General features: G+C 39.1%; 1 protein-coding gene across 11 annotated transcripts in view; it reads left to right on the plus strand.

Annotated features, from left to right (window-relative positions):
* Positions 1-13,296, plus strand: part of TRIO (trio Rho guanine nucleotide exchange factor) — a 366,863-nt gene that overhangs the window by 323,108 nt on the left and 30,459 nt on the right. For all 11 annotated transcript variants that reach the window (NR_134469.2, XM_047417679.1, NM_007118.4 and 8 more), the window contains 5 exons: positions 4,869-5,017; positions 6,143-6,209; positions 7,545-7,648; positions 10,445-10,514; positions 12,812-12,901. Coding sequence is in view for 10 of the 11 variants with exons in the window: in XM_047417679.1 (XP_047273635.1) it covers positions 4,869-5,017; positions 6,143-6,209; positions 7,545-7,648; positions 10,445-10,514; positions 12,812-12,901 (480 nt within the window). In the remaining variant the exon portion in view is untranslated. The remainder of the gene's footprint in view (positions 1-4,868; positions 5,018-6,142; positions 6,210-7,544; positions 7,649-10,444; positions 10,515-12,811; positions 12,902-13,296) is intronic.

Below are 13,296 nucleotides of genomic sequence, written 5' to 3' on the forward strand. Positions count from 1 at the left end.
TAAAAGCCCCAAATTAAATGTTGGTTCTTTGAAGTTAAGACAGGCATGTGTTGCTTCTAACTGATTCAAATCAATTAATTTCTGTTTTTGTAGTTTTCCTAACTGGGAAGTGGAAAAACCACCAATGGTAACAACTTTTTAGACTGGTATATCCTACTATCCCTATAAAGACAACGTCTTTTAAAAGCAGCTCCTCCCAAAGTAAAAGCCCTCAGTCTGTCTCAGCAATCCATTCTCCAGAGGTAACCACTGCGAATAGTTCTGATACGTTTCCCTCCAGACGTTTTCCTTGCTGGTGCAAACATATATATGTGTGTGCGTTTTCTTTCCAAATGGATTCATTCAATTTTTAAGACTCTAATAATTAACACATCTTAAGGATCTTCTCACGTCAGTACATACAGATTACCTCTTTCCTTTATTTAATAACTGTATAGTATTCCTCTACATGGATTCTGTGATAATAATACCACTGAGCACTTATTCTAAGCCAGGCGCTGTTCTAAGTGCTGAGCATGTATTAATTTATATACTTCCCACAACAACCCTATGAGGTTGTTATGCACTATTGTTATCCCATTTTACAGATAAGGAAATTGAGGCACACAGAACATTTAAAAACTTGACTAGCCACTAAGGGTCAGAGACAAGATTATGCTATAATTTATTTAAATATATTCCTAATACATACTTGTTTCCCATATTTCTCTGAACATCCATTACATGTTTGTGATTATATTTGTCAGGTGAATTTTCAACACTGGAATTGCTAAATCAGAGTATACTTCTTTAAAGTTAGAAGTTTCTCTTCCTGCATTTGGGCATTAACTAGGTACCAGATATATCATTCCCATTTCTTCCTTCATCCACAGACAACCTCTAATGAAACTGGTTGACTGAGTCAAATGGGAATTATATAAAGAAAAATTTGGACTGACGTGTCACCCTGCCATAGCTAGAAATTTCTCCCCAGGTAATCGTGTGGTGTTCCGGAGAAGACCCAGTGAACTTTGAACAGGAAGCTTGCTAGGGTGTGGTAGATAACTCACGAATTCGGACTCCACTGGTTAAGATTTTGGAATCAGGCCTGGTGTGGTGGTTCATGCCTGTAATCCTAGCACTTTAGGAGGCCAAGGCAGGCATATTGCTTGAGCCCAGGAGTTCGAGACCAGCCTGGGAAACACGAGACCGCATCTCTACAAAAAAATACAAAAATCAGCTGGGTGTGGTAGCATGCACCGGTAGTCCCAGCTATCGGGAGGCTGAGGTGGGAGGATCACCTGAGCCCAGGAGGTTGAGGCTGCAGTGAGCTGAGATTGTACCACTGCACTCAGCCTGAGTGACAGAGTGAGACCCTATATCAAAAAAATAAAAAAAGGAGCTTGGAACCATGCCAGTATGTACTGAGTTCAGCTACATCCTTGGTATCTCTTTAAAAGACAAGTTGATAAAACTGTCTAAATGAAGGGTGCTTAAATTGTATCCAGTGAGTTTTTAAGCATCCTTAAACTTTTTTTTAAAAGCCATTTATACACGTCAGTTAAATGACCATTAAAATCATTCTTACCAAATAGCCGAAATGGTTTCCCAGGGAACGCTGTGAGGCAGATCTGGCCACTATTCTGCAGCTGTTTAAATTGTATTGCATTTTATGTGGTCTGTGATTCATTTGTAATTAATTCACGTGGACTTCCAAATGGAGAGGTGGTCTGTGGCATGGTCAGTTTTGACTCTTACTGTGTTAATCTCCTTTTTCAATTCTGAAGAATTAAACTTTCTCGGTTTACTCAGTGAAACTGAGTTGTTTCTGCTCACTTCAGTGGGCATAAAGCTGTTGGCATAGGAAAGGCATAGGTTTTGGAGTCAGATAGACTTGGGTTCACAGTCTCATTACGGTGAGTTCCACCAGGCAAGTCCTTCAGCCTCGGAGACTGTCTTTCAGCTACACATGGGAGCTCTCAACCAGGTTTCATCCACATGGGTGTTCACTGGTGCCTTCCCCTCCCTTGGGAGAACCATGTTTGTACTTTATGTGATAGGTTCATCCCTTCTTCATTCTGCCAGGGAATGCGATCTAAATTCTCCCCTCTTTTTCTGGTTCAAGAGAAGCATCACCCTGTGTTGGTTTCCTGTCACTAATGCTCTAACGTCACATGGGAACTAGTTTTTGTCAGAAAACACTAATGCATCATTGTAATATCCTAAACTTATACTGACTCTGCAGTAGATCCTTAAGCATCCACATGTGTTTTCTTGTGGGTGATTTCTGAGGCTGTCGCACACTCATAATTGGATTTGAACACTGCATTGTTTATTCTTCAGAAACTCTGTATGTGTTTATTGGGTTAGGGAGGAGAGGAGAGAAGATGTTCAGCAGTTACACAGTATGATGTTTAAGGAACTGAACCTACCTAAACCTAAAACCTGAGGATTTGACTCGAAAAATGAAAGCCCCCCTGAAAACTGTTCCCTGGATTCATTCGTCTGGCTTACCTCCACGTTCTTGATGCAGCTGGTTATTTTAAAGGCTGTGCATTTTTCCTGCATGTCGGCAATAGAGTAATAGTTCCCTGCCGCCACAGTGATTGTGTGAACTTGACTTTGGGGTTTTCTTCTCTTCACTAATCAAAATATAAAGGGAGAAACAAGAAAGAATGAAAATAAATGAAATCACATCTAACTCAAGATGTTAGAAAAACAACAAAATAAACCAAAGAAAAGCAGAAGGAATGAATTTATACAGATAAAAGCAGAAATTAATGAGCTGGAAAACGGTAGCATAATAAAACCAAAAATTTATTCTTTAAATATAGGCATTAGGTAACCATGTCAAGAAAACAGAAAACACAAATTCCCAAAATTAAGAAATTATAAGAGAGGAAAAAACTGAGGAAATTCAAGCAATCATAAGACATTATTTTGTTCATCTCTTTGATAGTAAATTTAAAATGAAACCTGAATGAAATGGGCAGTTTTCTAAGAAAATGTAATTTATCAAAATTAATCTCATAAGAGGTAGAATATTTCTGTAGACCTATCTTCATGTAAGAAAGAGAGGAGAAGGACACAAAAAACAACCAAACCCAGAGAGTTTCACAAATAATTCATCCAAAATCTGTGAAGTCCCAGTGGCTGCAGTTTTGAGACAGCCTTAGGCTGGTGACAGCCTTCTCACACACATTTGTGGAAGAGGCAAATGGGCCACATGAAGGCGATAAGGACGTCTAGCCACAACTGCACCGCTTCAGGGTGTGTGCACCCTCTCGGCAGCCCATCTTGTCAGGAAAGATCAGATCTAGGACAGGCAGCCGAGGGGCCTGGGGACTCCATTGTTGCAGGTCGAGAAAGCTGGAAGACAGGTCCCCATGGACACTGATGAAGTCCGTGACTTTACCTCCCTGCCGTCTGCAGCATCAGGGGCATCTGGAGCCTTTCTCTTTCTTTTCTTTGTTTTTTCTCACTGTTCAAATGAACAGAATTCAATCTAACAGGCTTCAGCTGTCCAGGTGGGGGATGGGGGGTACAGAACATCCTCCCTTCGCTCTCAAAAACAGATGTGATCTGATGAGCGTGAAACAAGCTCTGCTACTCACAGCAAAATGTTTGCTTCCAGTAAAGCTCAATGGCTATTTATTTAAAAGAGTGCATTTATTTTTCAGATCAAACTCTGTTCCTTAACTAACTTAATGTCCTGTTTTTCAAAAATAAGATCAGCAGTTGGTGTGTTTTTTATAGCTCCATGGGTTTTAACAAGATTGCTTGTACAGTACATGCTTTGTGTCCTCAAAGCTCTGCTTAACAATGAAATCAGATTCAGTCTGTTACTGTTAAGAGGAGAAAATAGAACAAGTGTTAGAGATTTTAGTTTATTAATACCAAATGTTTTAAGTGAGGTATTGTTTTTGCATTTTGTATTGTGCTGTTCAAACCTAGAATAAATTCATCACATTTTTTTCCAGTTCAATCATATCTATATATCCAGTTTGTTGCTTTGGGAATGTTAAAAGAACTATAAATCTTATGTGTTCTGTGAATCCAGGTAAAACAACGAGATTAATATTTACCAAATTGAAAGCAATCAGTCACCAGTCATTGTCACATTAATCCAAGGAGAGAAGTCACCAATATTCAACTTACAGATTTGCTGAACACTTGCAAAGATTTGCATGAGGTTCTACTGGGGATACAGCAATGAAAACAATCACCTATAGAAACCAAAAGCCAGTGGGGGAAAGAATGTATTGCAGAAGTAATTAAGACAAGCACGATTACTATTTTGTATAGAGGGATAGAATGGAAGTTGCTAGATGGAGATTAATTTTACCAGAGTGATTTGTATGCATTGAAGTATGAGTCAAAGCTCTAGTAGGATAATCAGGAAACAAACCAAGTTTGTTGGATTGCTGATGTTGCTACATAGTCCACCAACAGGGAATGCAGGTACCATGTCCAGGTGCCACACTGGCCTGACCCACGCACATCCCAGCAGCTCATTTGGCAGGAATATAACCAGTAAGAAAATTGCTAGATATTAAATATGTGTGATATGTCCAAAAATGGGTGCAGTACTCTGACATAAGCAAGTATAACATTTCTACTTGTTTGATAACAAGAAATAGAATATATTAATGTATGTAAATTCACTATCCTTTTCATTCCAACTTTTTTCTCCACCTCCTTTGACTCTATTTTTTTATTAATAGTTGGGTTTTTTGTGTTATTAAATGCTATAATTTCACAAACAAAGATTTTATAATTTCACAAATACATTTTCTGTATTTTCTGACTTTGGGTATTTTCTTGTCTTAGTTTTAGCCAATCATGGGCTGTGGGCAGTAAGTGTTGTTGATTATGTCAATTTCTTCCAGGCACTGGAGGATCGCCCCAGCTCACTCCTTGTTGACCAGGGAGATAGTAGCAGCCCTTCCTTCAACCCTTCGGATAATTCCCTTCTCTCTTCCTCCTCGCCCATTGATGAGATGGAAGAAAGGAAATCCAGCTCTTTAAAGAGAAGACAGTAAGACAGAAATGTTTTCATTCTTATTGTTCTCTGGGTTCCGTCCTGTCTTTGTTGCCTTCAAAAATGTGACTGAGATTCAGCTCTGAATTACCGAGATGAGAAGCTCCAGGGCCTCTCATTAAGTAACTGCACGTATGTAAAAGACTCAGGACCTAATAAGGGCACAGTATTCCATAGCTGCAGTTTCTTGTTTTATTTGTATATGATACTTCATAAGTAAGAATGATGCAAGACAAAAATGTCTTCTGCCACATGTGGTGAGAAACTCCTAGACTTTTTATTGTACATGTGATTGTGAAAGAAAAAGTAATATAAAATTAGAACCAGTCCCCAAAACTTGAATATTCTTTGAACATACTTTACTGGTTTCTCAATGCCAGTAAAGCAGCATATGGTGAAAAGAGTCCTGAAAAATGTTACAAAAGGTTTAAACTTGCCTTTGGAGAAGGAAAAAAAAAAAACGTAAGCTACGAAACGGCAGAGACTGGGTGTTTTATTCAGCACTGTATCCCAGCACCTCCGATGGTGTTGGGCACATGAGAGGTGCCAGGTTGATGTTGGTTGAATGAATGACTGAACAACACATGGATGAACCTTTTCAGGCCAATTGAGGTTGTTTGCTATACTGATCAAATGGTTGTCTTCTGTTATCTGAGTGGCCTTAAACGGTTACTGAATGTAACAAACAGAAATACTTGTGAGTGATGTGATTAGACACAAGGTTTAAACATCTGATTTAAAAGTTTTTCTTGTATAGCCAGTGAAGGTTAAAATGACTTAATCATTTTTTAAAAGCCACTTCCTTTACTATCATGGCTTTGTCAGAAAGTTATGTCTAAGCTTCATTGTTGTCCCTGTATGTGATCAGAATCCAGAAGGGTGAATTCACCCTGATTGCCCTCATGCACTGTGCCTAGGTGTCTTTTGACCTCCAGAGCTCTCGTGGGTCACCCACTTGAACCTGTAAGTGATTTGGGACTCTCCAGAATTTAACACCTAAATGTACAAATTTGATACATTACTATTCAGTCCTGGAAGGAGTCCATCTTGACCAGGAGCAAAGGTACAAAAAAATTCATTTAGAAAACAGTTTGCATGATAAACAATATTTTTTCTCTCCAGCTACGTTTTGCAAGAACTAGTGGAGACAGAGCGTGACTATGTGCGGGACCTTGGCTATGTGGTTGAGGTGTGTATTGCCAGAAATTTAGTATCTTCGTATCAGTTCCAAGAGTTGTCAAAAGTAGTATCGTTTTAGACAGTTGAACACCTCTCAAAAGCTTTAAAAACATTTTTGACCCAAAATAAAAAGTGACCAACGATGTATTTCCGAAAAATTAAGTTTAGCCAATTGTCTTTACCATCTGTATTCAGTTGTAAATGCTTCTTTTTCGCATAGTGTATCTTGACATAATCTTTTTTAACAGTTGAAATTTACAATTATTATAAATAATTTGATATTATTATTAAATGATACTAAGTAAGTATACTGTAGTTAGTAGACAGGAATCTTGCCTTAATTGTATCACTACAGAAATGAAGACCTTACTGGTTGAAAAAGTCAGTGTGGCCCAGCTGTGGGTTCGGTTCCATCCTGAATCCACCCAGGTTCAGAGCCTGTACTGTGGCTGCACCAGGTCATTTACTTGATAGTTTTGTACAGAACACATTGCCATTTCCATTGACCAGAAGTTGCCAAGCACTGTAGCCATAGCAAACCACTGCCTTTTGTACTGGATCGAGAGCCATCTCTAGGCTAATCCCTGCCAGTCAATTCGGGGATTAGTGAGATTAAGAAACTCAACTCATCAAAAAGCTATTTTTGTGGTATAAAATTTTATGTGTATTCTTTCATCTTTGCAGATTTGTACAGGACAATACTTTTTGGTTACACATCCCATTAAAAGTACCAGCTATTAAAGTCAATTGCATAACACAAAAGATTTAACATGCTTGATTTATCTGCAGTCATTGTTCACAATGAGATAAGCAACCTGAGTACTTAAGAGGTTCTTGTACAGACTTAAATAGAAATTTTAAGCCACATTTTAGCAGCATATTCAATCAACTGTTGTTTAAAAATCAGTTTATAAAAAGAATATTGTTAAACCCTTATTTAACCGATTACACAAATAATCCAAAAAGAAAAGAAAATCTTTCTGTTTCTAAGAGATAAATGCTGAAAACAGGAGATATGATTCTGACCAAATATTTAATATTTACAAACTGTTTAATGAAACCATTTACATTTATTTAAACTTCTTTAATTCCTTAGAAGATTTTTGATCTGTGAATGCTGAACAGTCCAGGGAAATAAAATTACAGCAATGAATGTAATAGGTATATTCCAAGTATCAGTTAAGGATACTTTTCATATCGGTTTTTTTTGTTTGTTTTTAGACAAAGAACTGGTTACAAGACAGTGCATGTGTCCATTTTGCCCTCTGTGACTATTAATCAATAAGCCACTAGTTGATTCAGACATATTCCATGAAATACACTTATCATAACTGTTTAATTGTAGGGCTACATGGCACTTATGAAAGAAGATGGTGTTCCTGATGACATGAAAGGAAAAGACAAAATTGTGTTCGGCAACATCCATCAGATTTACGACTGGCACAGAGAGTACGTAAACATGCATTGTGCCCGATGGTGTGCAAAGCAGCCACACTTGCTAAACCAAGGCAGGCCAGGCCAAAGGGAATTTATTCTGTTCATCGTATTACCTGTGTAGCCTCCTGGAGGGAGCTGGTGCAAAGGAGATATTGATGTACCCAGGAGTTCTGCAGTAGCATTTGGTGGCACGGAGAGAGTCTTGTCTCTTCTTCGTGCTGGTCCATGTCGAGAGTCTGTGGAAGGGAGTAGCTGGAAGCACCAGCGTGGAGCCAGCTGCCGGAGCTGCTGGCCTGGTCCTGACCCCGAGCCCTCGGCCTCCCTGCTGTACACTTCCATTCTTCATCTGCACACCCACATTATAATGTGGGTTTTTTGTGAAGAGTGACTGAGTTAATACTTTTACCTCGTGGGTTTTTTGTGAAGAGTGACTGAGTTAATACTTTTACAGAGTACTTAGAACAACATCTGCATAGAATAAGCTTCAAGTATTTCTAACTAGAATTGCAGCCATCTTTAGAATAAATACAAGTTATCATTAGAGGACCTTGAAGACACTCATTTGTCCAATTATTTTATGTTATTTTTATTTTTTAGAGACAGGGTCTTGCTCTGTCACCAAACTGGAGTGTAATAGTGCGATCATAGCTCACTGCAGCCTTGAACTCCTGGGTTCAAGTAATCCTCCCGCCTCAGCATCTCTCAGCATCTCTAGTAGCTGGGCCTACAGGCACGCAGCACCATGTGCAGCTAACTTTTTTGGTTTTCGTAGACAAACACGGGCTTGCTGTGTTGCCTAAGCTGGTCTTGAACTCCTGGGCTCAAGCAGTCTTCCCACCTCAGCCTCCCAAAGTGCTGGGATTACAGGCATGAGCCACCACGCCTGGCCCAATTCAATTTTAATGGAAAAAGTAGACACGATTGCCCATGAAATTCAACTCTGATCCCACTACATTCCCCACACCTATCCTAATCAGGAGGCAATCCATCTGGGGGCTGGTGCTACGTAGCTCACCTTGGCTACCAGAGCTTGTCAACATACCTGTCCCTTTAGATCACTTTGCTTAAACTTTAAAAATCCTTAATCATCTGAGGATTGCTTAATGCTGGCCACTGGTCTTCCAGTGGAATGTTCCAGATGCACTGTCTGCTCCGGTTACCTGGCCGGGCCTTCTGCTCTCCTGTCTTGATGCAACTGCTCCTCCCTCTGCTCAGGGTGGAGCACGATGTCATCACCTCCAAAGCTCTGGCCTCTCTCTGAAGCTGAGCTCCATACTTGCTTCTCCATTAGGCCTGGGTGTTCCCCATCAGACTCCTTCTCTTCTGCAGAAGCAGATGGGAATATGCTCTTTTAAACTATGAGATACTGGACAGACATGAGGAGGAACTACCGTGTCACGTATCAAGTAGTGTTGTTATTTCTGTGCTTCTCCCTCCTAACAGAATGTAAAACCTTTGAACCCAGGTCAGAGAGGTCTTTATTTTCATATCCCCTGTGATGTCTAATTTATTTGGATTTACAGATAAATGATCGGTAAACTTTAGAAACAGCACTCCAGTTTATAGCTCTGTGCTGTAGACTTACTGAACAACTACAGTGAAACCAATTCAAAAAGGGATATTTTGTATTATGATTTAGTCTCCTACTTCCAAGGCTAGTTTTTAAGGCTGTGAAGGGAAGCTGAAAATGACACAGTGTTTCTGGGATGACCAGACAGACACTGTATCCAGAGATGCTGTCTGCGCAGCGGGGATAGTAAACCCCTTAGTACAACATTAATTGGCATGGTGGTTTATGAGTTAATGTAATACCAAATATTAACATAAATAAAAATATATTTAAGTGATAACTAAGCTGGACATATATCTTAAAAGACAACTACAGCCCAGAAAACAATGAACATTGTTGTCCTACAGCTATTTTGTCACTGTGATGATACCTAATTTTAATCTTAAAGGGAGCTGATGTTTATAACCTAGAAGTTGATTTTGATAACATTTGAGAAAACTTCATAAAGCTGGCACAGGTAACATATTTAGTTTTGTATATCTGCTGTCCAATTTGAGTCTCTAAAAATTATCTTAGAATGAATATGAAATTCGCAGGTATAAAGACCAAGTTTTCAGAAATAAAAAATGTCCAAGTACTTTGAAACATCTATTTTTCACTCATTATTCAGCCTAGGATATTAGCACTTGTGTCCTTGAACAGAGATGAGAATGTTTGTTATCCAAAGACCAGGAAGGTCACCAGCCAAGGGATATACAGTCGTGCCTCATCTTCTGTGCCTTTGTATTCCTTTATGCTTTGTAGCTTAACAAAAGGTTTTCCTTGTACTTGTTAAGTTTCCATATATTTGTTAAATATATACTTCACACTTCACAGTTGCTCATGTCAGAACAGACTATTGAAAATGTAAACCTGGCCAGGCACGGTGGCTCACGCCTGTAATCCCAGCACATTGGGAGGCTGAGGCAGGCGGATCACTTGAGGTCAGGAGTTTGAGACCAGCCTGGCCAACATGGTGAAACCTTGTATCTGCTAAAAATGCCAAAAAATTAGCTAGGCATAGTGGTGCACGCCTATAACCCCAGCTACTTGGGAGGCTGAGGCAGGAGAATTGCTTGAACCCAGGAGGCGGAGGTTGCAGTGAACCAAGATCACACCACTGCACTCCAGCCTAGGTGATAGAGTGACACTCTCTCAAAAAAAAAAAAGAAAAAAAGAAAAAGAAAAAATGTAAACCTAAATCTAAAATTAGAAGGCCACACTGGAAATAGTTCTAATATTTTCTCCTTTCTTTCCAGCTTTTTTTTAGGAGAGTTAGAGAAGTGCCTTGAAGATCCAGAAAAACTAGGATCCCTTTTTGTTAAACACGTAAGCACAATAGCATTGCTTATATCCTGTTCTGATGGTGTCATCCTTAGTCACTGGTTTGTCAGATTAAAGGAGAACTCACTTATACTTTATGTAAGTGCGTATGTTTAAGATAAAATCAAACTGCATGGTGTTAATGAGTTGGAATTAAAATCCCTTCTTCAACATGAGTTACCTGCTTTCCCAGTCACCTGGCTGAAGCTGGCTATTTGGCTAGCAACAGTACAGGTTGGTGAGAGAAGACCAGAGCCAGGCCTGAACAGTATCTGGGGTGTCTGTGAACAGGCAGGTATTGTTGAGTGGAGATGTAACTGTACCTGCAGTGGGTTTAACATAACAGCCAAATAGTGTGGATATCGAAAATAAGCGTATTAACATTAAAGTTTTTTGTTTTTTGGGAAAAATCATGATATATTTTTAGAAGTTAGTGACAGGAGTTTTTGCATTTTTGCCAGTCTCTTTAATGTCTTGCTAAGTAAAAGACAGCTGGATTTTTATATCTGCTTCTGCATCCAACTCATTGCTGTGTTTTTTGGTTCAAGTATCCAAACAAATCCATCTTCACACACATATAGTTAGAAAAGGATGAGTATTTTAATAGCCTTTTCAGATAATTACATAGTTTTCTTAGACACTATACCAAAAACTTGACAGCTGATCATTTCTTAAAGGTTAGTTGCAATACGGAATCTGAAAACCTACCCATGAACTTCTCCCTTGCTGTGACATTAAATACATTGAACTATTGGGCTTCGAGGCTCCTGCAGCCATGCGCGGTCCTGTGACATCAGGCATCAGTCCACTGGAAGATACCAGGTCACAGACTTAGGCAGATCTTCCAGAGGTTGACACGTTTCATTACACAGTATCCAAAAATCCAGTTTTTGAACTTGACCACCCATCTCTTTGAAGTCTTTAAGTGTTGTGAAGTTCAGAGTGGCAGATACATATTTCCAAAATTTTAATTTTTTGCTTGAAAGCTGTAATTTTCACTAACAAACACTGCCAGTTGTTTGCCTTGAAATGACAGGCTTATTTTGTTCATGTTCAAGAAAATGTCTAGCAGATACCCAAGAGTAAATAATTATAGTTTGTGTCAATCATTCTTCCAAGTAAAAATGGTGGTCCATAAAAAAAAGTGGTTAGTTCCACTCACAACTCGGTTACATAAGTGCTTTTTCTTGAGACATTTATCAAGTGCAATTAAAGTGTTATGTGGACATCATCTTGTCACAAGAATGTTAAAAACGTGTATACTCCCTGGTTGAGTTTTAATAAAAAGAATAATGTTTACTCATCCAGGACATTCTTAAGTGAAACCAGTTTTGTTTTGTTTTTTACTATAAATTTGTGGCAGTGAAGAGTTTTTGCCAAGGTGCCAGCAATTTCACCCACCATTGGTTTTGCACATCAGCACAGATGTCAGCACAACAAAAAGGACAACTGACATCTTAGTGGTATTTAGAAAATAGTTGTGACCAAATGGAGCCACTGAAAGGACTCAGGGGGCCCTGGGGGTCTGCACACTGTACTTTGAGGATCACTGATTTATGGAAAGGCTCATTGTCTACATTTTTTTTCTTCTGCCTTTAGGATTTGAGATTAAAGAGCTTCTTCTCTACTAAAACCAACCAGGCTTACTAGGACTGTTGGCAGGGTTTGGAGTGATGGCAGTAATTCTTTGTTTAATATTAAGAAGGGTGTTGCGGCCAGGTGTGGTGGCTCATGCCTGTAATCCCAACACTTTGGGCAGCCAAGGCAGGAGGGTTGCTGAGGCTAGTTTTGAGACCAGGCTGGGTGAAAAAGCAGGACTCCATCCCTACAAAAAAAAAAAAAAAAAAATTAAAAATTAGCCGGGCATGGTGATGCACATCTGTAATCCTAGCTACTCAGAGGCTGAGGTAGGAGGATCGCTTGAGCCCGGAAGTTTAAGGCTTCCGTGAGCCATGATCACACCACTGCCCTCCTGCCTGGGCAACAGAGTGAGACCTTATCTCTTTAAAAAACAACAACAAAAAAATGTTCTTTTGCTACCTATGGTGTTTGTTGGTATTTGGTACTGTAAAGTGAAGGGTTTGGTGTGTATGGAGAGTGATGGGGGAAGGACTGGTTTTGGAGCCACACCGTAGAATGCTGATCTACATCCTGAATCTGGAATTTACTCCCGAGAGCCTTAGCTGTGCAGCTTGGTTTTAAGATGAGTGCCTTTATGAATGTGCTGAAATGTGCGGGTACTCGTGTATTCTAATCGAATTTCCCATTGTTATAACCCAACTGTTTGCCTTTTTTATTCCTAGGAGAGAAGGTTGCACATGTACATAGCTTATTGTCAAAATAAACCAAAGTCTGAGCACATTGTCTCAGAATACATTGATACCTTTTTTGAGGTAAGACCTAAGATACAAACAGAAAGTATTTCTGAATCTTTTGTTCCAACTTATTTCTAAAAATGAAAGTATCATTGGTTTCCCAGGAGACTAATTTCCAAAGAAAATTAGCCTGAGTGATAAGACTTCTGAACCTTTCTTTCTTTCCTGTAAATCAGAGAAATGAGTATGAATTTAGTCTGTGGTCATACCCCTGGCATTCAGAAGACTGCAGTCATTGTTAAAAATAAGAGTTTTTAATAAGTGTTACACTTAAGTCTCATTACAAAGTCAGAATAATTATTATCTAAACTTATAGCCTAAAAATAATATATATATTTATATGAATAAAATAATGCAATTGAAAAAATGCCTTTAAACAAGCATAAAAGACTGCTTTGAAAAACAACTCAGGT

The sequence above is a fragment of the Homo sapiens genome, chromosome 5, assembly GCF_000001405.40.
Source record: "Homo sapiens chromosome 5, GRCh38.p14 Primary Assembly".
In the NCBI taxonomy this organism is placed as follows: Eukaryota; Metazoa; Chordata; class Mammalia; order Primates; family Hominidae; genus Homo; species Homo sapiens.